Consider the following 25,668-nt stretch of genomic DNA (forward strand, 5'->3'; position numbering starts at 1 on the left):
CTCCTCACTCCTCTTCCTCATTAACTTTTTATAGGATGAGGAGAATGCTGTGGCCATTATTATGATGATAAGTATTTGCAAAAATATCTTTGTAGATGAGAACCTGAATTTAATTCAAATGTCTTTTTGGACATTTCACTCTTATCACCAATTCCTGTGTTCCTGCACTCTTACTGGCTTTGAAAGAGAAGCATCTTCAAAATGCCCCCTAAGCTGTTAGTAGGACCCTGGGTAGAGTTCTGGGGCTTCTAAACCAGAGAAACAGCTTGACAAGTTCTCACCAAGCTGATACTAGAGTTTAGAGAAGTGGATCCACTGGAGGACAAGTCTGCCAGTTATACTCAATAGGCTGGTTTCTATTTCTTTCTAAAATTAAAAACTTGGTGGTCAAGTTCATATATAGCCCAAGTTAAACTTTTTTATTTTTAAGAAATGTCGTTGGTTCTTTCATACTGGATTAAATATCCTAAAAATTCCAACAACTCTCAAACTTGTTACTTATGCCTAGGGAGACTCTGGCTCAAAAATTCAGTTAATGATTCAGAGAGAACATTATTTGCCACTCGCAGGAAGGATGCTATAATTTTTGCTATACGGGCAATGAGATAGAAACAAGAAAACCTGAGTTTCACCCTCCCCTTATCAAAATTTAGTAGTCATTACAATTTTTCCTGTAAGAATATTCAAAATGAGAAGTTTGTTTACATATAATCAATATCCAGAGAAAACTAGATCTTGAGGGAATAAAAAAATGTTCAAAATAAATCCACATTGTATATTATCTTTAGACCTGGGCTTTTATTCTTCCCTCTGAATTTCCATGCTTATAAAGAAAAGAATAGTGGACAGCTTTATGATTCCATCCCTGAGATGTGGGAAGGAGAAGCCAGATCTATAAGAAGAAAGAGGAAAATTGGCACAGGAATTATAATAGCACTGGCCCAGAGTGGATAAGAAACCCATGTTTATATCACTGCAAACATAACTTCCAGCTTTAAAACTGCTTAAGCTTTATTCAATAGTTTTTAATTAAGGTAAGCCTGATTTTGTTCTGGAAGAAAGCCCTTTTAGAAATGGGAAATTTCTTTCTCATAGAATTTTATCTAAAACAAACTTAAGGGAAGCATTATTTGCAAAAGAAGGCAATGACATGAGATGAGAGAGAGGAACTTCAGGGGGATTCACAAAACAACTAAGAAACCTTCCTTTCGGGGTTAAAATTCCTAGACAACAGTTTTGCTAGCCTCCAATTTGTTACTCTCGGGAGCTACATGGTTCCAGGAAAGCAAGAAACCGGAAACCAGAAGAAAGATGTGTTTTCACTTCTTCCGTTTGAATTACTTCCCCGTTCTGGCTAAGGAGGTAGAATCAGGAAACCAGAGCGGAAGCCACGTCTTTAACTTTTCTCTTGAGAATTCCCTTCTCATTTGGGCTTAACCAGAAAGAAATATGATTTGGAAAATGCTTACTAATGCTTCTACTGGAAACTGTTTAAGCCTCGAGAGTCCGCTACACAGGGTTATTCAATGTTCAGTGTGCTTATGAATCACCTGAGGACTCTTGTTAAAATGCAGGTTCTGACTCAGTAAGTCGGGTGGAGCCTGCGACTCTGCATTTCTAACAGCCCCAGGTCATGTTGGTGGTCACTGGATCACACTTTAAGTGGCCAGGTCTTAGGAAAGGGGTCTATTTTGAAAGATGAAATACAAGAAGAATTTAACCAAGGGAGGACTCAATTAGGCAATGACTGGTAGTGTAATGATCAATGACAGGGGTATCAAACGGTGCCCTTTTTTATATTTTAGGAGTATCTGTTTTTACTGTTTATATTGAACTATCTAAAGGATTTTTTCTTATTTTAAGAAATTCACAATTGAGAACCACTTTTTCAACTTACCACACCTATATAAAACCAAGAAGTTTACAGTTTTGATCAGTAGGGTAAAACCTTGGGTGGCATTCTAATTGTGGGAGGGCTCTTAGCAACTTTGGGAGTATGCAGAGCTTTCAGATCTAAGCATAAAAAGGGACAATAACTATCATAGTAACTACTTTAAGACAGGAGCCTGTCAAACCAAGGTCCCTAGACTATTAGCAAATGATCCTAGCACTCAGATGGTATCTTAAAGGAGCAATGTTAGTATTTTTAGCAGGATAATTTTTCATTTTGGGGACTGTCTCATGCATTGCAGGAGGTTTGGTAATGGAATTAAACACAGTAGCACCTCCCAGGCATTGTGACAACTAAAACTACACACACACACACACACACACACACACACACACACACACACTTCTAAACTCCAATTCTTCCCTTGTTCAGAATCTCTTATTTGTTGTTTTGAATTACATATGTATTGGGGCTATCCTGTTAAGGATAAGTGATCATTTAGTACAGAATATGCCTAAGAAAACTGCCATTTGTGACAGTTGGGGCTTTCCAGGAAGCAAATGACATCAAGTTAGAGGCAGACGTTTACTGAGGATTACACTGTGAAAAATAAAGGAGGAGGAGACAGGACCGGGAAGGTAGAGCATCAGACAAATTCTCAGCCTACTCAGCAGGAGCTCCAGAGCAAAGATGCCTGCTGTGGGAGTGCTGCACAAGGAGGACTGGCCAGGCCCAGCCATCCCTGCAGCTGCATGCTCAGGCATTGGCCTGGAGAGAGTACAGCCTTGGCTTGGAAACTGAGGCAGATCATGAAGTTGCTCGAGGTTCTGAGTAACATGCCACCATGATGTTTTTTTCTCTTAAGTCATTTATTTCACATGAGGTTAATCATTATCACCAAATATAATTGAGAATTATTATTTTTTGTTCAGTATAAATGAAGGAGGAGGAGTTGCTAAGATAGTCACATTATTGGATACTAAAAACCAATATCTTAATTGCTTTTTTTATTTTTACAAATTAGTGTTGAAATAGCCCTGCAGCAAAATGAAATCATGAACACATTTATTGATGACTGGAAATACCTCGCAGAAGAAGAAGGCACCTTTGGGGACAAGACCGATACCCACCTGAAAGAGTACCAGTCCTTTACCGACCTTCATAGCCCAACGGAGAAAATGATTACCTGTGTCTCATGGCATCCAACTATCTATGGTGAGATGGAAATGATGGGGATTCCCTTTTGTGATAACATTGAAATTGTCTGTTGCTTTCATATGTAAAATTGCAAACTAGTTCAATGTCAATAAGACACCTTCCATTTGCTCTGTACTCACTAGGTACCTGCCATGTGCTTTCCACGCCCTCACTGTCATGTGTCCTCCCAACAACCCTGTAGGATACACACCTGTCATTATCTCTGTTTCACAACAAAAGGACCCAAGCTCAACTCAGGGAAGTGACTCGCCCAGGTCACCCAGATGGCATAAGGCAGAGTCTGGGTTGGGCTTGGGCCTGTTGCTCTCCCAAGGCTAAATTTCTTCCTCCTAACACTGCCTTTCTGATTACTAGACAAGAGAGGAAATGTGCCTCCTTTAAAGAGCTCAGCAGCCAAGGGAGGTAGGTAGGGATGTGCAAAGATGGAAACATGGAAAGAGAGAGGTATTTGTCCTCTTTCTTCCTCCTTTCACCCTACACTGGCCCTTTTCTCACAAAAAAGAAACAAAACAAGATTTTCTTTTCTTCCAAAATCTTCTGAGTCCCCTGTATATTTTATACTAACAGTACATGTCAGTTTGGACCAGCCAGATTTCAAGTGCTAAATAAGTAGCATGTAACTAGTGGCAACCACATTAGCCAGCAGAGCTCTAAGAAAACTCTTGCTCTCCTGTGGACAAAGTGTAAATGAAGAGTGGCTGTGTAGAAAAGCAAAAGCTAGAGACATCTCTCCATGTATAGTTGCTGCCAACTTTAATTTCTACATGTGTTTCCATCAGGGCTAATAGCTGTGTCGGTAGCCGTGCGACTTTCTTTTGAAGACAGAGTTCACTTTTCTGGTAAATTATTGCTGCAGCCATCACTGATTCTTTTCTGGAGCTTCTCTGATCCTATACATCCTCAGGTAATTAGGGAGAGTTGCCTACATAGCCTAAATTTTCAAATACTACTTTCATGTATACCTTTAGCAGTTTTTATTGCAAAGTACTTTATAATCATGTAATGTTGTAAACATTTATAAAGTTAGGCTTTCTTCAATGCAGAACTTGTCATCATTCAATTTGAGCAAAACTAAAGTTTACAATTTGTTTATTGAACAAATCAACATGCTATTTTTTTCAAAGATTGTAAGAGGAATGTTTAAACTATTTTTAAAACAAACTCTTTTATGGACTTTACTTGAATACTAATTGGTCAAATGCAAATAGATTTTAGTTTCACATGAGTTTCCTCAATTCCAAGGATCACTGGGTAATAAATAAAGGTGAATGTGTGGGAGAGCACTGGGGAGTGGTAGGGACTGCGGCCTTGGAGAGTGCATTATCCATCTCTAGGCTGGCTGCCCTCTTGTTGCCAGGTGGTCCCATTGTCAAGAGAATTGAGAAATTTGGAATTTTGTATGAAATCGCCCAATTTTAAATAGCTCAACTAAAACCAAGCCAAAACACACAAAAACCCCACTCAAACCAACCAAAACACATAGCAATTCAAATAAAATGAGGCTGAAGGCTGGGTTTGCTACACAGGGTTCTAGTTTTCATGGTCTGCTCAATAAGAGATCTGCCTAGTGGGTGGGTGGTGTATAGTGTTAGATTAAGTTATTTCAATGTTTTAAATATAATAATATTTTGTTTCTAAAAAGTATTCATAATTAAGACTTTCCCTAAAAAACCCTAGCCTCCCCTTCTTCCTTTCCCCAATTCATTTGAATTAAGGTAGTTTTACTGTAATAGATTCTAGATACTTTAATGATTATAGACCCAGAGATCAAATTGAAAGATCTCTAGCCCTTTCTTGTCAGCCACAAAAACAGAGCCACTCTCTCACTAGAGTTTTCTAACCTTTCTACCCTGTAGATCTCCTCTCCACTCCAGGAGTGCCTGGCTCAGTATTCAGCAAGCAACAAAACAGACACAGATCCTGTCCTCACAGAGCTTCCCTTCCATGGTTTTCAGGAACACTAATTTCATAGTCTTTTTGTTATAAACATTGTAACATGCTCCCAAAATAACTACAATTTGTTTCCACTGAGGGGTGGGTTGGGGAATACCTGGGTCCCCTTGAGAACATACTCACTGTCACTCGTATGGCCAATGTGCACAATAAAATTAAGCAAAAGCAGCTTTTAGTCCAGAGGCAGAACTCTGAGAATAGACTCTCTACGCACCTTGCTTATAGATAGCTATAAAATTAGACTTTTAACTGTCTTAATATTATTTTCTCGCCATGATCTTAATCTCTTTTCTCATTCTTTCATGAATTTGCTGGGTTTACTTTAGTTAATGCTGGAGAGCCCAGATGACATCTTCTGCTTCAAGTTCTGTCCGAGTGATCCTAATATCATTGCTGGAGGCTGTATCAATGGGCAGGTACTTAACAGAATTTTTTTCAGCTATGTATTAATGTAGACAACCTTTGGTAATAAGTTTTGACTTGGCAGTTCCTTGGACTTAAGGATTCAATTCAGCAGAAGGAAGGCATGCCAATTGTGTGCCAGACACCACACCAGGAAGCAGGGTATAGAGACGTGTTACACACGGTATCAGCTCCTGAGGTGTTCACGGGGTAACCCAGCTTCAAAACTGAAACAGAATTGGGTGAAATCTATTTGTGTTGCTGGGACTGAACCACATATTGTATAAGATTCCATGGAAGAACAAAAGCTACAAGCATTACTACCTCTTGGAAAAAAAGGCCTCTTCTGAAATTTCCTTGGGAGTAGGAGTTAGGGGATGATCCAGAACTTAAACAGAAATTCACTAGAAAGCATACACACATCACTGAATTTATAGGCAGATATATGTGTGTATATATATATATAGATAGATTATATATATATATAAAGATTATATATAAAGATTATATATAAAGATTATATATATATATATGTATCTCAATACCGTTTGCTTTTATCTTCTTTTTAAGTTATCTAATATCAAATTTAGATCCTATCCTCCAATATCCTGTTTCTCTAGTGAAGCAAAACAATCATAAAGCTGTTTTATGGTCAAGGTTTAAATTCATTGTGATTCAGTGGGTTTGACCATCAAAAGGGTATATGATTTTTGTGTGTGTGGTTTGAAAAACTTCCTTGTGGTTAAAATGTAAATGTCTGCAGCTTCCATGTCCATTTATCCAGAACCAAAATAACCAGGAAAACAATTTTTTCTCCCTCAGTTTTGTTCAACAATAACTGAGGGTCATAATGACTCAAAGCCCATCCTCCAAGCCCTGCAAATCCCGAAATGCCTTTTTCACTCATTACAAAGGTAATGTGACTTTATTTTAGAATATTTCAGAAAAGCACATGATGAAAATAAAATCACTTACAATTCTGTACTCCTGACATTTTGTTAAAACTTTAGTGTACTGAAATACCTTTTAGTCTTTGGAAACCTAATTTAGTGTTATATATCTACCTTATCCTGACTTGTTTTTAAAAAATGGCCTTCTAGATACATAAGAATTCAGAGTTGGCTGTAATAGTCAATTAAATAGAAATAATCACTTCCCAGCCTTCTTTGGACAGTCGGGTGTTTGTACTCAATTCTGGAGTATGGGCTGTTTTTTCCTGGGTCCAAAGCAACTGTCCCTACAATCATAGCACACCTCCAAAAACAGGAAGAACTTTTCCTAAAGCAAAGGGAATTGCATGACATTTATTTTGGATTTTTTAAAAATACTGGCCTTTATTAATGTAAGCACAAAAATGAAAGTGCTAAAGATACTTTTACAGAGAAGAAAACATTCTTTTTATATTAGCTTTAAAAATTGCTGACTTACTTAAGATATAAGCTACATTTGATTATCCCCTAAGGTGATTGACTTATCAGGCTACAAACCAATAGTTAAAAGAAAATTAAGACTCAATTAGATATTTTCTGAAAAGGTTATGATAACATTTATTTCCATTTTAGATTGTCATGTGGGATATCACCGCACATGCAGATCGCATAGAAAACATTAAGGCAGGTGGTAGTAGAAGTAAAAGAGCCACACTGAAGGTAAGCTTTTTACAACATTTCACTTGCAAGTTTTTTCCATTGAAGAGTTTATGGAAAAGTACATAATATAGTTGCCAAGGCTAATAAAAACTCAAGAGAAAAAAGGAAAAAAAAAAAGAATGTTATTTCCCAAGCCTTCACCTGTGCTTGTGAACATGTTCTGAATCACTTTTATGTGGGCCCTTGATTAAAACACAATGAATCAAGTTGCACCATCTACCCAAGGATATGAAGTTCTGTCTGGTTGTTATTGTTAAATGAAATGAAGGGACCAAGTGACTTGCCTAAAGTGAGGTGATTGAAAGAGCACTGGACAGAAGAGCGGATACCCAGGCTGTGGACCGTAGTCCTGTGAGTTTGGACATGCCACCTCACCTCAGCACGATAGCTTTTCTCATGTATAAAATGAAGGGGTTACATCATATTTGATGATAATATACCATGATTTTGTGGGGCTATGGATTCTGTTAAGAGGGTTGAGAAGATTACTCCATACCTACCCACCATATTATGCATCTACTCCAGCCCAGTTCTTCAGCCTTAACATCAACAAGTCTCTTACCAAAGAATGGTGAGATGCAGCCTTCTATAGGCACAAAGAAATACTCCTTCTAAAATGAGATGTCTCATTGATTCTTTATGGAGTAGGTCAATAATACTTGTTAAGTTTAGAGAAATAGTCTTAGACCAAACTGAAGGGAAAAGTAGATAATCCTATTACCTAAATATATGATATAGAGAAACACTAATTTATGTTTTTCCTTGAACTGGTATATCTCTAAATTGTTCATTTTAATTGAGATGATGAGTAAAGTATGAGTTCATTCATCAGCCCTCTGAAATTAGCACTTAACTTTCTTTTAATATTTTTCAGCCTATGTTTCTCCTTGAACCGGAGAGTAATAAAGAAGCAATGTATATCAGACACTGTGCAGTCTCTTCAATAGAAAATGGACATAAGAAAGTAATTACAGATATACACTGGTTGTCTGACACATTTGAGGTGAGACTTGATGGCCTTATACTTTTCTCCTGCTGAATTACACATTTTCAGATTTTATGCAAAGAAGATGTTTCAAGTCAACAATTCATTTACACTTAAATTGTGAAATAACCAGGAACTAAGCATCAAAAAATGGGGTTACTGTTGCCAGACCAGTATCTGAGTTGGAGTAAGAATAAGGCCAATCTTTCAACTCAGTTGGCTTCTAACTAAAAAATGTGGGTGGTGTCAACACTGGTATAATACAATAGTGGAGAAGATGAGGGCTTGATGTGTAAAAATGAACTGCAAATATTTTACACCCTTAGCATGTATGAATTTAAGATTTATGATCTCAGATATCTGGGGGAAGGGAACCCTAAAGATCTGTGGCATACCATGTAATTTTGCTGGGCACAATCTGGAATTGAGTGTGCTGAGAGGCTGGTGGGTGAAAACTAGTTGTGCAGTCTGTGAGCCCAGCTGACTGCCCAGCTTCTGCACTGGTGTTTGTCTTTATGGTTGTACACTTACTTGACTATAACCTCACAAAGCATGGGATCTATAAATTTGGAAACTGGCAAGTTCCCCACATGTTTTCCTCAAGGGCATTAAAGATCTACTATGTACTTTGAATAATTAACAGGTGAAATATCAAGAATATTCTGAGAAAATCACAAGCATTCTATACACCAATAACAGACAGAGAGCCAAATCATGAGTGAACTCCCATTCACAATTGCTTCAAAGAGAATAAAATACCTAGGAATCCAACTTACAAGGGAAGTGAAGGACCTCTTCAAGGAGAACTACAAACCACTGCCCAATGAAATAAAAGAGGATACAAACAAATGGAAGAACATTCCATGCTCATGGATAGGAAGAATCAATATCGTGAAAATGGCCATACTGCCCAAGGTAATTTATAGATTCAATGCCATCCCCATCAGGCTACCAATGACTTTCTTCACAGAATTGGAAAAAACTAAAGTTCATATGGAACCAAAAAAGAGCCCGCATTGCCAAGTCAATCCTAAGCCAAAAGAACAAAGCCGGAGGCATCACGCTACCTGACTTCAAACTATACTACAAGGCTATAGTAACCAAAACAGCATGGTACTGGTGCCAAAACAGAGATATAGATCAATGGAACAGAACAGAGCCCTTAGAAATAATGCCGCATATCTACAACCATCTGATCTTTGACAAACCTGAGAAAAACAAGCAATGGGGAAAGGATTCCCTATTTAATAAATGGTGCTGGGAAAACTGGCTAGCCATATGTAGAAAGCTGAAACTGGATCCCTTCCTTACACCTTATACAAAAATTAATTCAAGATGGATTAAAGACTTGCATGTTAGACCTAAAACCATGAAAACCCTAGAAGAAAACCTAGGCAATACCACTCAGGACATAGGCATGGGCAAGGACTTCATGCCCAAAATACCAAAAGCAATGGCAACAAAAGCCAAAATTGACAAATGGGATCTAATTAAACTAAAGAGCTTCTGCAAAGCAAAAGAAACTACCATCAGAGTGAACAGGCAACCTACAAAATGGGAGAAAATTTTTGCAACCTACTCATCTGACAAAGGGCTACTATCCAGAATCTACAATGAACTCAAACAAATTTACAAGAAAAAAACAAACAACCCCATCAAAAAGTGGACGAAGGATATGAACAGACACTTCTCAAAAGAAGACATTTATGCAGCCAAAAAACACATGAGAAAATGCTCATCATCACGGGCCATCAGAAAAATGCAAATCAAAACCACAATGAGATACCATCTCACACCAGTTAGAATGGCGATCATTAAAAAGTCAGGAAACAACAGATGCTGGAGAGGATGTGGAGAAATAGGAACACTTTTACACTGTTGGTGGGACTGTAAACTAGTTCAACCATTGTGGAAGACAGTGTGGCGATTCCTCAAGGATCTAGAACTAGAAATACCATTTGACCCAGCCATCCCATTACTGGGTATATACCCAAAGGATTATAAATCATGCTGCTATAAAGACACATGCACACGTATGTTTATTGCGGCACTATTCACAATAGCAAAGACTTGGAACCAACTCAAATGTCCAACAATGATAGACTGGATTAAGAAAATGTGGCACATATACACCATGGAATACTATGCAGGCATAAAAAATGATGAGTTCATGTCCTTTGTAGGGACATGGATGAAACTGGAAACCATCGTTCTCAGCAAACTATGGCAAGGACAAAAAACCAAACACCGCATGTTCTCACCCATAGGTGGGAATTGAACAATGAGAACACATGGACACAGGAAGGGGAACATCACACTCTGGGGACTGTTGTGGGGTGGGGGGAGGAGGGGGGATAGCATTAGGAGATATACCTAATGCTAAATGACGAGTGAATGGGTGCAGCACACCAACATGGCACATGTATACATATGTAACAAACCTGCACATTGTGCACATGTACCCTAAAACTTAAAGTATAATAATAATAAAATTAAAAAAAAAGAAATAGCACTTGAACATAAAAAAAAGAATATTCTGAGAAATTAGAGTTGTAAGAGGTGATTATCATTATACCAGTTTTAAGAGGTATTCAAATGGATGATGCAAAGCAATGATACTTTTAAAAGTCATAATGAACCAAAATAAATAGCCCACGTATAGTTTCTGTGATATGTTAAAAGTTTACATATAATAATGGGAGTTGTAATACAAGTAAAGGAACTTCATATCACTTCCATTTCAACACACACCATGCATGCAATTTAACTGAGATGATTTTAAATTTAAATGAAAATAACAGGCTGGGCGCAGTGGCTCACACGCCTGTAATCCCAGCACTTTGGGAGGCCGAGGCGGGCAGATCACGAGGTCAGGAGATGGAGACCATCCTGGCTAACATGGTGAAAGCCCGTCTCTACTAAAATTACAAAAACAAAATTAGCCGGGCGTGGTGGCGGGCGCCTGTAGTCCCAGCTACTCCAGAGGCTGAGGCGGGAGAATGGTGTGAACCGGAGAGGCGGAGCTTGCAGTGAGCCGAGATCGCGCCACTGCACTCCAGCCTGGGCGACAGAGCGAGACTCCATCTCAAAAAAAAAAAAAAAAAAAAAAAAAGGAAAATAACAAATCATACAAAAATACAATAAAATCAAAATAGAGTATCAGACTCTGGAATGAAGATAGTTTTCAAAGATGATTAATGTTGAAAGAAATCAGAAAGGAATGATTGACAGATTCAAAATATACACATATAAATTTCTAAATTAAGAAATAATGAGAGGCCAGGCATGGTGGCTCATTCATACCTATAATTCCAACACTAGGAGGCTGAGGCAGGAGGATGACTTGGAGTTTAAGACCAGCCTGGGCAACATGGCGAAACCCCGTATCTATGTAAAAACAAACAAACAAAAAATTAAATAATGAGAGGGATAAAGAGAGGTTAATTAATGGGTACAAATATACAGTTAGATAGAAGAAATAAGACCCAGTGTTTGACAGATTAGTAGGGTGACTATAATTAACAATAATCTATTATATATTACAAAATAGCTAGAAGAGAATAATTTGACTGTTCCTAGTATAAAGAAAATAAATATTATTACTTAAGGTAATGGATAGCCCAAATACCCTGATTTCATCTTTAAACATTATATGAATGTATCAGTATATCACATATACCCCCCAAATATGTCCATCGGCTATGCATCAATAAAAAATAAAAAGTAAAGAAGAAATAACAAAATGGAGGAAAATATTTGTACCAAATATGGTAAATATAAAAATTTTTCATAAATAAGCAAAAGACATATAAAATAAAACAGTAAATCAACATGAAAATCATTCAGCCTTTCTAATATCAAAGAAATTAATAGTAAGGCAACAATAATGTGCCATTTTGGATTTATTTAATTTTTAAATGAAAAATGTGATTAATATGTTAAAAAGAATAAAGTGGTGAAACCAGAACACATTGCTGATTTCAACATAAAACTTTTGGAATGCAGTTAGTCAAGGTGGTTCTTAAGTCATCCAGATTTTCAAACTGTTTGACCAGTAATTCCAATTTTAGAGAATTCATACTAAGAAATGATCCAATTTGTATCTCTAGATACAAAATTATATGCATACCTTGAAAAATCATGTCACAGTGTTTCCATGAAAGAAGACTGGAAGAGAATATACGGGAGAATTATATATGATTCTAAAATATTCTGTTTTCCAAACTTCTATAATACTGTTATGTTTTTGGATTTTTAGTCATTAAAACATAAAACCTCAGAGCAAGCACATCTCTGGGGTCTCTGACTTCATTATAGCAGAAAAGCCTCAGTAGAGAGAGAGGTAACACCATGCAGGTTCTGGAATGAGTGGAAGTTGGTAGTTCAGGCCACAGAGATGTCCATCAGGTTTGTGATTGTTTGGCTTCTGGATGCCTGCAGACATGACCCAGGTGCCACCTATACCTTCCCCACCCCTGTTTTCACCTAACTTCATTTGCTGCTAGAAGCCCCACCTCTGTTTATTATTTTGCTCATCAGTTCTTTCAGGAGGTTAGAGAATTGAGGAAAGTCATGCGTTTCCCTCTCAGTTCCAGAGTGGCATCTTCACAGGTTGCCTCAAAGCCTGCTGCCTGCTTTGAGAGCTAGTGGGTTGGAATTTTGGACCTTCTAGGACCTGAGGAACCATAAACCCTCCTGTGAATCCTCTGTGTGCATGCAGACTTATGCCCGTGATTACAAAAAGGTCAGGTCTTACAACAGTCATGGCACACTTTTATTTGGCGTCTCATTTAACACTTAGCCTCTTTCCCATTGATCTTACCTGCTTAGCAACCTCATAAAAGCCTCTATGTTCGACTGCACAATTCAGTGAAAAACTGACAGAGCCTACATTTCTAATAATAATGGGTAATGAAATGGTGGTATATCATCCGTATATTATAAAAGGATTAAAATAATTTATGAGGCCGGGCGCATGGCTCATGCCTCTAATCCCAGCATTTTCAGAGGCCGAGGTGGGTGGATCACTTGAGGCCAGGGGTTCCAAACTAGCCTGGCCAACATAGCGAAACCCCGTCTCTACTAAAAATACAAAAATTGGCTGGGCATGGTGGCACATGCCTGTAATCCCAGCTACTCAGGAGGCTGACCCAGGAGAATCACTTGAACCTGGGAGGCTGAGGTTGCAGTGAGCTGAGATTGTGCCACTGTACTCCAACCTGGGGCACAGAATGAGATGCCTTCTCAAAATAATAATAATAATAATAATAATAATAATAATAATAATAATAATTTATGAATATATAGGTAAATGTTCAAATTATGTGGAGGGAAAAATCTCAGTATAAAAATGTATATGCATTCTAATTACTACTATGTAAAAATGTTTCTGTGACAAAAGACTAGACAAGAATATGTTGCAGAATTGTATTTAATTTTAAACCTTCTGTTTCACAAACTTCTGAGATAGTGGTATGTCCTTTTTTTTTTTTTTTTTTGGGCTGGAGTCTCGCTCTGTCGCCCAGGCTGGAGTGCGATGGCACCATCTCGGCTCACTGCATGCTCCACCTCCCGGGTTCACGCCGTTCTCCCGCCTCAGCCTCTGGACTAGCTGGGACTACAGGCGCCCACCACCACGCCCGGCTAATTTTTTGTATTTTTAGTAGAGACAGGCTTTCACCGTGTTAGCCAGAATGGTCTCTAGCTCCTGACCTCGTGATCCTCCCTGCCTCAGCCTATCAGAATGCTGGGATTACAGGCGTGAGCCACTGCCCCCGGCCGGTATGTTCTTTTATTAACATTTAAAACAAAGAAGAAAAGAATTTAAAAGGTAAATAGCTATGAGAAAAACAATTTTATTTCTCTTTCATTTTTGAAAAATAGATTAACAGAATGGGCTCCGTCTTTGAGAATCGAAGTGGAATATGCTGTCAACTTGTCACATGTTCAGCAGATTGGTAAGTCTTGTTTCAAACATTTCCTAATGTGTTTTCATACATGGTGTTTTTTCTTCGATGCTCCTAAAATCAGTGTCTTCTTCTCCTTAATATTTATGGTAGCAATTAAATCTAATATAACTAAATGAAAGAATGTTATGGATTGTTGCTAGCTTAAAAATTGTTTTATAGAGTTAAATGTTATGTAAAGAAGAATTAACTAAGCTTTGTGGTTGATAACGTTGTATAGCATTATCCATAGTTCTTCTTCACATTCTCATATTTGTAAATTTGTAATATATGTTATTTATATTCAGTTTTATCTAAGAATTTTGAAGATTACAACATTTAATTGGGAAAGCCTCTTTTTAAAAGTAGAAGAGTTTTTACATTTTTATTGTATATTTATAAAAAGTGTTTTTATAAACAACTCGGTAGCTACTTTGAAGAAGATTTACTTAAATAAAATTACATCTCCCAGTTTATAGAACTAAGAATTCGTAATGAAACAGGAAATATGAAGAGTAATATCATTATCTAGCATCCAAATGTTGGACAAACTTTCCCATTCCAAATCCTTTGACCCCAGTGGAAACAATGACACCATACGCCACAGAAAAAGGTGTGGAGTGGCAGAAGAAGGCACAAGTGATGTTAGTAGCAGCCATGGGCCAGGGATGAGGGAGACATGATTAATCCTGTGAGCATGTGTTGGGGAAGATTCTGTGACTACAGGCAATGAGAATTGACTGTGGCTAACTTAAGGGAAAGAAATAAGCTTATTGGAAATAAATGTATTGGATATTTATGCCAATACTCTACTGAGTGCTTTAATGGGTTAACTATTTTTATATTTGCAACAACCCTGAAAAATATTTACAGATAGAAAATATGAGGTGCGAGATTGCGCCATTGCACTCTAGCCTGGGCAACAAGAGTGAAACTCTGTCTCAAAAAAAAAAAAAGAAAAAGAAAAAGAAAGAAAGAAAAGAAAATATGAGGCTCTGAAGGCAAATTCATATTCCACCTATAGCTGACTAAATATAGAGTGAGTTATATGTAACACTACTGAATGTCCTATATTGTAGCTAGTAAGTAATGACATTCCTGAATCAAAGGAAGAGCTGACTTGGGCCTTGGAAACAGCCCCAGAGATTTGGGTAGCAGGAACAAATGGCCAGCCCCTTTTCTCTGAATGAATCAGTGCCAATCATTGTGTCCCGCTGCTCAAGATTCAAATTAACTGGAAGGGGTGTGCCTGGCTCCTACTGTATCATGAACCCATCCCTTTAGCCAGGAAAGAAATGACAGAGCACCTTGAGTGACGATCCCAACCTGACTGCATGTAATGGAGAACGGGGTGGTTCCCCAAAGAACCACTAGAATGCCCCGTCTCTACTAAAAATACAAAAAATTAGCTGGGCATGGTGGCACATGCCTGTAGTCCCAGCTACTCAGGAGACTGAGGCAGGAGAATCACTTGAACCCAGGAGGCGGAGGTTTCAGTGAGCCGAGATCATGCCACTGCACTCCAGCCTGGGTACTTCTTGTCTTGTTGGGTGCCTACTGTGTACAAAGCACATTATATCCAACTCTGTGTATGTTATTTTCACTATATCACTTTTAAGATTATGTAACTTTGATGAAACACCAAAAGTGCAAGCAATGAAAGAAAAAAATAGATAAATTGGACTTCATCAAAATTAAAACTTTTTGAGCTTCCAAAGTTACTACCAATAAAGTGCAAAGACAACCACAGAATAGGAAAAAATATTTACAAATCATATATCTGATAAAAGACTTGTATCCAGAATATATAAAAGAACTCTTACCATGCAACAATAAAAACCCAAATGACCCAATTAAAAAGTGAACAAAGGTTCTCAGTAGATATTTCCCCAAAGAAGATACACAAATGGTCAATAAGCACATAAAAAGATGCTCAATATCATTAGCTGTCAGGGGAAGGCAAATAATGAGACCTAGAATAGCCAAAACAATCTTGTCAAGGAAGAAAAAAGTTGGAGGACTCACACTTCCAAATTTCTAAACTGTCTACAAAGCTATAGTAATAGAGACAGATGTACTAGAACTAGCATAACAATAGATACATAGATCAATGAAATAGACCTGAGAGTCCAGAAATGAACCCATACATCTTTGGCCAACTGATTTTCAACAAGGATGCCAAGACAATTCAATGGATAAAGAATAATCTTTTCAACAAATGGTGCTGGGACAACTGGATATCCACGTGCAAAATATAACGTTGGATTCCTATCTCACCCTATATACAAACGTTTAAAATGGAATAATGACCTAAATGTAAGAGCTAAAACTAGAAAACTCTTAGAAGAAAACATAGTCACGTATCTTCATGACTTTGAATTGAGGGGTGATTTCTTAGACATTACAACAAAAGCACAAATGCAACCCAAAACTACTTTTGATGAAATACAACTTTATACCCACTACAATGGCTATAATCAAAAGACAAAAAGCAACAAGTGTTGGTGAACGTGCAGAGATTTGGATAAATTGTAGTGATTACACATTGCTGATAGAATGTAAAAATGGTGCAGTTGCTTTGGAAAACAATCTGGCAGTTCCTCAAAAGATTAAACACAGAGTTACCATTTAACCCAGCAATTCCAGTCCTAGATACACCCAAGAGAAATGCAAACATATACAAATGTTCACTGGCAGCATTTATAATAGTGAAAAAGCTGTGGTGGGGAGGTGCAGAATTCAAATTTATTTATCAAATGTACTGATGAGTGGATACATAAAATGTAGTATACCCACACAATGGAATATTCATCAGTAAGGAGTAACGAAGTCCTGATACGTGCCAGCCACAACACAAATGAGCCTTAAAAACATGCTAAGAGAAAAATGGCAGTTACAAAAGACCATATATGATTCATTTTATTAAATGTCCAGCATAGTAAAATCTATAGAGCTAAGAAGCAGATCAGTAGTTGTCTAGGGCTGGTGGGATGGCTTGGGAAAAACTGCTAATAGGAAGCAACTGCTAATCTGCATGAGGTTTTTTGGTGAGGTGGGAGAGTGTGATGAAAATCTTCTAAAATTGATTGTGGTGATGGCTTCCCAACTCTGTGACTATATTGAAAACCATTGAGTTATACACTTTAATTGGATGAATGTTGTAGTATATGATTTATATCTAAATAAAACTTACATTTTTAAAAGATTGCATCAAACTCAATTCTCATATGTTATTAGTCCCAAGATGAGGGAGGCTGTTAACTCAATAAACAGTTTAATTCTCTAAAATATAAAGTACAAAGCTGTCTTGTTTCATAAAAATCTTAGTTTCAGATACATTAAAATATAGCCATGGTCACAATGCTAATATGTAGCAGCATTAATGGTAGTCCTGAGGCTGCACCTCTTGTTTGTACTTAATAAAAAATATATATAAATTTTTTTTAGCACAATATGTTTTTGGGATATTAGACCACAGAAACCTTTAACCCCCCAAACAACAGAGAAAAAGAAGGAGGAAAGTATTGAAATTCCTTTTGATGTACCATCTACTTTTTTGCATCTGGATCTCTCCTGGAAACCTCTCACTAAGGTAAGTAATGTGGGGTTTTTAGTCCATCCTGCTTGCATAATACACTATTTACTTTGCATGCATAGACATACATATACACACACTCTCTAAAAGTAGAGCAGCTCAGATTAACACAAGACTGTACAATTTGTGTTTATTCAACCAATAAATTCCTTGATTGGGAGGATTTTTAGTTTTATTTTATTTTTAATTGATACATGTTATTGTATATATTTACACAGATTTACTTTGTGTAATCTGTGTAATACACACATACACTGTGTATGATTTACACAGATTTACTTTGGAAAGCTGACAATGAAGAAGTATATGGTTGCTGATGTAGCTGATGTTTGCAATATACAGAAAAAGGGAGCAGAAAAACATTTCAGTCATTCTAACTGTGCCAATAACAATGATAAGTTTCAGAGTTCCTGGGAGAGCTTCAAGCTCTCATTATTTTTTAATTATTATTTTTGGATTCAGGGGGTACATGTGCAGGTTTGTCCCATGGTTATATTGTATAATTTTGGGGTTTGGGCTTCTGCTGAACCCATCACCCAGGTAGTGAACATAGTACCCAATAGGTGGTTTTTCAACCTTTGCCTCCCTTCTTTCCTTCCCCCTTACAAGTTATTTTGATGCCTCTTTAGATCCAGGTAGAAATCAAAATCATCATGAATTCAAGATTGATATTTCATGTATAAACAAGCCACAATTTCCAAATGGTGTGTGTAATAATTATCCAATAGCATGTCAGTTGCCTGAAAATTGGTTGGTGCTCAAGTTAGTCCAGAAAAGCTAATTTTCCTCCCTACTGTAGCCAAAATTCTGCCTATCAAAATTTTGCCTATCAATAGAAGGAACTGGTATTGTTCCTTCTGTACGTTTTTTGGGATATTAGACCACGGAAAGCTTGATAATACCTATGACCAAACAGAACTGAAAATTAACTGAATGAGAAGTTGTTTGTATTTATCTCACATAGCAGAGCTTGAAGAAAAGCAGTTTTAATTTGAGAAAAATATGGCTATGGACAAGATATGTGTGGAAAATATAAATGGACTTCAAACTTGATGGCTCTCTTTCTTTAGAATGTCTAGTTTTAAGTTTAACTTAATACTTTTCTTCTGATTTATAAATATCACAAGAATTATATTATTTTGTATTTGCTCCCAATGGAAGAGAGAACATGGAGGAATAAGAATATTGCTGAGATAACTGGGAAATAATTGGAAAGAGAAGATTATAAATTTGGGGGACTGGGGGTAGGATCTACTGAGCTATGAATAGTTCAAACAAACAACCCCAAACTCATCTAAGAATAATTGCATAGCATGTGGACAAACATCCTGAAGGAGAAAGGGCTGAGGGAGCTGTGAGGGAAAACTGTGAAGTGTGACAGTTTCTCTTTCCAGCCACCAGGATGCAGTGCAGGCCCAGGGCCTTCTGGAACTCCAGTGCATGTGTTCCTGAGAGGACTTGGAGGTGGCCAAGCAGATGCAAGGTCCCTGCACAACTTTCTGGGGTCTCATTTAACTGAATGATTTAGGGAACAGGGTAACAAGTAATTATTTTATATTAAAACTCTTAAGGATGTATTATGGAATACAATACAAGGCATTTTTCAGAAAGAAAATGACACATGAGAATTTGGGATGTGGAAATGTGTCCTCAGACAAGCTCCTTTCTGTAGCTGGGTTTAGAAATGTGGTTTAGGTGCTTTCCATGGAGGAAAGAAACTAGAAATTTGAGGGAGGAAAGGGAAGGAAGAAAAAAAAGGAGGTGGGTTTCCTTCAATATGGGAGCAGAAGGGAAAGGCAAGAATAAATTACCCAAGGATAATTTCAGGATATGTGGAAATAATCTTTGCTATATGTTCTCCCAAAAGGTAAGGCTGTCCAAGGGTGAAACAAGTTTAGACCACTGTCCAACCAAGATAAGCCTGAATGAAGACCATCTTCTTTGCAAAACACAAGGTAACTGCCTTTGCTTATTTAAAAAAAAAAAAAAGGCCGGGCGCGGTGGCTCACGCCTGTAATCCCAGCACTTCGGGAGGCTGAGGCGGGCGGATCACGAGGTCAGCAGATCGAGATCATCCTGGCTAACACGGTGAAACCCCGTCTCTACTAAAACTACAAAAAATTAGCCGGGCTTAGTGGCGGGCGCCTGTAGTCCCAGCTATCCCGGAGGCTGAGGCAGGAGAATGGCGTGAACCCGGGAGGCAGAGCTTGCAGTGAGCCGAGATCGTGCCACTGTACTCCAGTCCGGGCAACAGAGCGAGACTCCATCTCAAATAAATAAATAAATAAATAAATAAATAAATACATTTACTAATTTGAGTGTTAGTAGCTGATTATGACTAACGTGAGTTACTCACTAGGATAGTCTAATTTGTAAAAAGAATACAGAAAATCAAACCCTCCAATGTGGAACTTTATAATGGCAATAATAGCTATTGCCAACGCATTAAAATTGCCTATACACAAAAAAGATTCAGTTCATTTCAGCTTCTCAAAATATTTATTGAGCACATTTATGTGTCTTCAAAAACTCATTACATTAAAATAAAATGAAGCCCACTTAATGAATGTTACATGCTCAAAGAATAATGCTATAGGATGGAACACATCTGAAGTCTAGTAAAATAAGTTATGAAGTATCAAGAAACAAATTACCATTCTCAATTAGAATATAATTTTTAAAAATAATATTTATATGGCACCAAGATAAAACTGAATAAAGAAAGAAAACTGACTTTTAAATCTATCTCAACTCAACCCACACATCTTTGCTGAAATAATTGAAGGGGGCACATATAAGCTGTCAAAACTATTAAGATAAAGGTATGCATGAATATCCCACCTGGAGAGCAATGCATAATGAAAATGTTCGAGAATAACTAGCAATTGAAATATTTCCCAAACATTCGCCTTATCAAAAGGATTTCCATTTATGAATTTTTCAATGTTAAATGATAGAATATCTAAGAAAAACACATACCTAATACCCAGCTTGAGCAAAATTTCACTTTGAAGCCATGTGTTTTATTGATATAACCCAAAACCTCATGCTAAAAAATACTGATTCACTAAACTTTTATAGACATTGTCAAAGCATTATTAAAACATTGCATGCTGTTTCTCTATTAGGGCCTGCTTCATTCTAGAGGGAATCTAACGGGAGTTTTCTCCTTCTCCACCTCTCCTCCTCTTCCTTCTTTTCCTCCTCTTTTGTATTTGATCATTGGTTATAATGTATCACATTCCAGCCATGGTTCAGGTACGGTGCTACTATTGCACATACTTTCATTCATTTAACAGATATTTGTAATTTGCTTACTTTGTGCTAGGCCCCAGGGGTACGATGGTGAGCAAAAACAGATGCTAATGATCACAACAATCTGCAAGCTGGGAATTTCCATTACCATTTTATAATTAAGAAAACCAAGGCTGAGAGAGGTTAATATAACTTGTAAAAAGGTAACTTTATTAAATGTCCTAGTATTATTTTTTAACCTAATGAAAACAGGTGGCCAGGAGGATGAGACTACCTTTATCCAGTTTATAGGAAGGATATCAGTATCTCTTTTAAAGTGTGAGGGGTTTTTATTCATTTTTAACAACCACACTGAGGTATAATTGACATACAATGAACTGCATATTGTCAAAGTGTTTAATTTGATATGCTTTGACATATGTACACACCCATGAAACCATCAACATAATCAAGATAATGAACATATTCACCACTCCCAAAAGTTTATTCATAGAGGAATTCCCTTTGGGACACTTCCCTCCAGCACCTCCCTCACTCCCAGGCCACAACGGATCTACTTTCTGTCACTATACATTAGTTTTCATTATCTAGAATTTTATGTAAATCATACAGTATATACTCTTTTTTTTTTTAAGAGATGGGGGCTCACTCTGTCACCCAGGCTGGCATGGAGGGGCATGATCATAGTTCACTGCAGCGTCTAACTCCTGGGCTCAAGCAATCCTCCTGTCTTAGCCTCCTGAGTAGCCAGGACTACAAGCATGCGCCACCACATGCAGCAATCTGGCTTCTTTTAATCAGCATGATTATTTTAGAATTAATTCATGTTGTCTGAATGAATCCTTTTTATTACAGAGTGGCATTTCATTGTATGGATACACAACAGTGGTTTATCCATTCACCTGTTGATAAACATTTGGATTTTTAGCGTAGACCTATTACAAATAAAGCTTTTATGAACATTCATGTACAAGTCTTTGTATAGACATATGCCTTCATATTTTCCTGGGTACATCCCTAGGAATAGAATGGTTGTATTATATGGCAGGTGTATGTTTTACTTTTTCAGAAACTGCCAAAGCATTTTCCAGTTTTACCAGTTTACATTCCCACTAGCAGTGTATGGAGAGTTCCATTTTCTCCACATCCTTGCCAACAGTTGATATGGTTAATCCTTTTAATTTAACCATTCTAAAATATACAGTCGGATCTCATTTACACTTACCTAATGACTTAAGTTGTCAAGCAAATTTTCGCATGTTTTTTGCCACCTGTATATCTTCCCTGGTTAAGTGTCTGTTCAAATCTTTTGCCCATTTATCAGTTGGGTTGTTTGTTTTATTTTTATTTTTGAGACAGAGTCTCGCTCTGCTGGCCAGACTGGAGTGCAGTAGCATGGTCTCGGCACACTGCAACCTCTGCCTCTGGGTTCAAGTGATTCTCATGCCTCAGCCAACCGAGTACCTGGGATTATAGGCATGTGCCACCAAGCCCAGCTAATTTTCATATTTTTAGTAGAGACAGGGTTTTGCCATGTTGGCCAGGCTGGTCTCGAACTCCTGTCCTCAAGCAATCTGCCCAAATCGGCCTCCCAAAGTTCCAGGATTATGGATGTGAGCCACCACATCTGGCCTGTTTGTTTTCTTATTATTGAATTCTGAGAGTTCTTAATATATCTTATATACTAGTTCTTTCTCAGGACTAGTGATATGTGATTTTTAAATATTTTCTCCTAGTCTGTGATTTGTTGTCTCATCTCTTAGCAGTCTTTTGAAAATCAGAAGTTTTTAATTTTGAGGAAGTCCAGCTTATCAATTTATTCTTTTGTGGATCATGGTTTTGGTGTTGAATTTAAGAAATGTTTGCCTAGCCCACAGTTGCCAATGTTTTTTCCTAATTTTTCTAGTTTTATGGTTTTACATTTAGGGCTATGATTTCTTTTGAGTTAATTTTTGTAATTGGTATATGTTATGGATCAAAGTTCATTTTTTTGTGTATGGTATTCCCACACCATTTGTTGAATACACCATCCTCTTTCTACTGAACTGCTTTGCACCTTTGTCAAAAAACACTTGTCCATATATATGTGAGTCTATTTCTAAACTCTATTCTGTTCCATTGACCTATCTTTAGAGCAATACGACACTGTTTTGATTATGCTAGCTTTATAATTAGTCTTGAAATTAGATAGTGTTAGTTTTCCAACCTTTTTTTTTTCAAAGTAGTTTTTGACTGTTGTAAGTTTTTTGCTTTTCCATGTGAATTTTAGGAACAGCTTGTTATGCATAAAAAGCTAGCTGTGATTTTGACTGAGATTGTATTGAATCTGTAGGTCAGTATTATGAGAATTAGCGTCTAACAAAATGAGTCTTCTAACCCATAAACACAGTATATCTGTTCGTTTATTTAGGTCGTTAATTTCTCAGATATGTTTTGTATTTTACAGTGTACAGGTCTTTCACCTCTTTTGACAGGTTTATTTCTATATTCTTCATATTTTTTGGTGCTCTTGTTAACGGTACTTAAATTTTTTTAATTTCCAATTGTTCACTGCCAGTGTATAAAAATACAATTTGTATCTTTTTTTTTTTTTTTTGAGAAGGAGTCTTGCTCTGTCGCCCAGGCTAGAGTGCAGTGGTATGACCTTGGCTCACTGCACCTCCATCTCCTGAGTTCAGGTGATTCTCCTGCCTCAGCCTCCCGAGTAGCTGGGACCACAGGCATGTACCACCACACCAGGCTAATTTTTGTATTTTTAGTAGAGATGGGGTTTCACCATGTTGGCCAGGCTGGTCTCGAACTCTTGACCTCAGGTAATCCACCTGCCTTGGCCTCCCAAAGTGCTGGGATTACAGGTATGAGCCACCACGCCTGGCCTACAATTTATCTTTGAATATTAATTTTGTATCCTGAAATCTTGCTAAAATCTCTTACTAGTTATAGTGGCTTCTTTTAGACATACTGAGTTTTCTATATAGATAATAATGTCATTTGCAAATAGAGACAGTTTTACTTCTTTTCCAATCTGGATGATTATTTTTTTCTTACCTGATTGCACTGTGTAGAGCCTCCAGAATGTTAAATGAAGTGTGAGAGTGGACATCCCTGTTTTGTTCCTGATCTTTGGAGGAAGGTCACTCTATGGCCATGATCTGCCTCCTGTGTGAATGGCCAGCTTTCAAGACTTTGAGATCAACTATGGTATTTCAGATTTCCTTTGGTCACACTGCCGACTATCCGCCCATTCTGACCAGACTTGGCCCTGTTAACTAGAATATACTCATAAGGTTCTTGATCACATTTTGATTCTTGATCCTGTACTGGTTTCTCCTTTGACTGTATCACAAGTCCTCGCTATCCCACCATTTTCTCTTGAGGCCTGTTGAGACTTAGTGTCAGTGTCTGGTACTCTGTCACTATCTAATGGCCAGGGACCACCCACCCTTTGTCTGCCATTTTAGGTCCATGACAACCCATGCTCTTCTAAGTGGTCACTTTAAGAAATTCTGTATTTATTCTGATAAGGAAACCCTTGCTCTAAATGCTTTTGGAATTCCTCTGTTGGAATAGCCTTTAGAGCCTGACATATATTCTTCTAAGCAATGTGGCATAGCAGCTATGACGGTAGATTCTGGAGTTGATGGTCTGGGTTTAAATCCCAAAGCCACAATGTATTATTTGACCAAGTTAAATTACTTTACCTCTCTGTACCTTAGTTGTTTTTTTGCTTTTAAATCCATTTGAAAATAGAGTGAGGAAGATGAGGGGAGTAAATAATAAAGAGAACTACCTCATAGGGTGTTGTGAAGATGAAATGAGTTATACACGAAGCTCTCAGAATAGCACATAGTCAACACACAGCAAATGTTAACTACCATGTGTGAGACCTTGCATAAATTACTTAATCTCTCTAAGCCTCAGTTTACTCATCCTTGGAGGAGGATGAATGCATAACCACCTGGAAGTTCTTGTGAGGACTGAATGAAATGGTTCCTATAAAGCACACACTTTAGTGCCTGGCATGTAGTAAGCATTCAATAAATGTCAGATGCTGTTATTATTACTATCTCAAAGGATGGGAAATCCATGACCTATGAGGATGATTTTGAATCTAAGTATCCAAAGTTATTCCCGTCAACTCTGAATAAACATAGTTAATAACGTTTTTCCCTAGCCTCACCTTCTTTGACTCTATCATAGCCTTCCCCAACCTTTTTTGCACCAGGGACCAGTTTTGTGGAAGATAATTTCTCCACTGGGTGGCAGGGGGAGGTGGGGGCAGGGGGGCAGGCATTAGATTCCCATAAGGAGCGTGCAACCTAGATCCCTTGAATGTCCAGTTCACAATAGTGTTCACGCTTCTGTGAGAATGTAATGCTGCTGCTGTCTGACAGGACATACTGCTCAGGCAGTAATGCTCTTTCGCCCACCTGCTGCTTGTCTCCTGCTGTGCTGACCAGTTCCTACCAGGCCACGAACCAGTATCTGTGGCCCAGGGGCTGCAGACCCCTGCTCTACCACATTAAATGCTATTAACTCAGCCTATTTTCTTGGAGCGCACACTTCTCTTAGCATCTGTGATTTTCCTATCCTGCTACTTCTTCCGTTATTCCTCCTCTATCTCCTTTCCTGGCTCCATTTCACCTTGCTGCCATCTACTCATGAATGTACCTTGAACTTTAGCTTCAGCTGTGTACTTTCCTCATTGGTAACACAGTCTACCTGCATGGCTCTAACTTTTATCTCTGCTGAGAATTCTCCATCTGACTCTTGCT

General features: G+C 37.7%; 1 protein-coding gene across 3 annotated transcripts in view; it reads left to right on the top strand.

Moving 5' to 3' along the window:
• Positions 1-25,668, top strand: part of DNAI3 (dynein axonemal intermediate chain 3) — a 70,812-nt gene that overhangs the window by 28,216 nt on the left and 16,928 nt on the right. For all 3 annotated transcript variants that reach the window (NM_145172.5, NM_001288563.2, XM_047444741.1), the window contains 8 exons: positions 2,916-3,106; positions 3,889-4,013; positions 5,389-5,478; positions 7,027-7,113; positions 7,988-8,116; positions 13,982-14,055; positions 17,491-17,635; positions 19,506-19,593. In NM_145172.5, coding sequence (NP_660155.2) covers positions 2,916-3,106; positions 3,889-4,013; positions 5,389-5,478; positions 7,027-7,113; positions 7,988-8,116; positions 13,982-14,055; positions 17,491-17,635; positions 19,506-19,593 — 929 coding nt within the window. The remainder of the gene's footprint in view (positions 1-2,915; positions 3,107-3,888; positions 4,014-5,388; positions 5,479-7,026; positions 7,114-7,987; positions 8,117-13,981; positions 14,056-17,490; positions 17,636-19,505; positions 19,594-25,668) is intronic.

The sequence above is a fragment of the Homo sapiens genome, chromosome 1, assembly GCF_000001405.40.
Source record: "Homo sapiens chromosome 1, GRCh38.p14 Primary Assembly".
Classification (NCBI taxonomy): domain Eukaryota; kingdom Metazoa; phylum Chordata; class Mammalia; order Primates; family Hominidae; genus Homo; species Homo sapiens.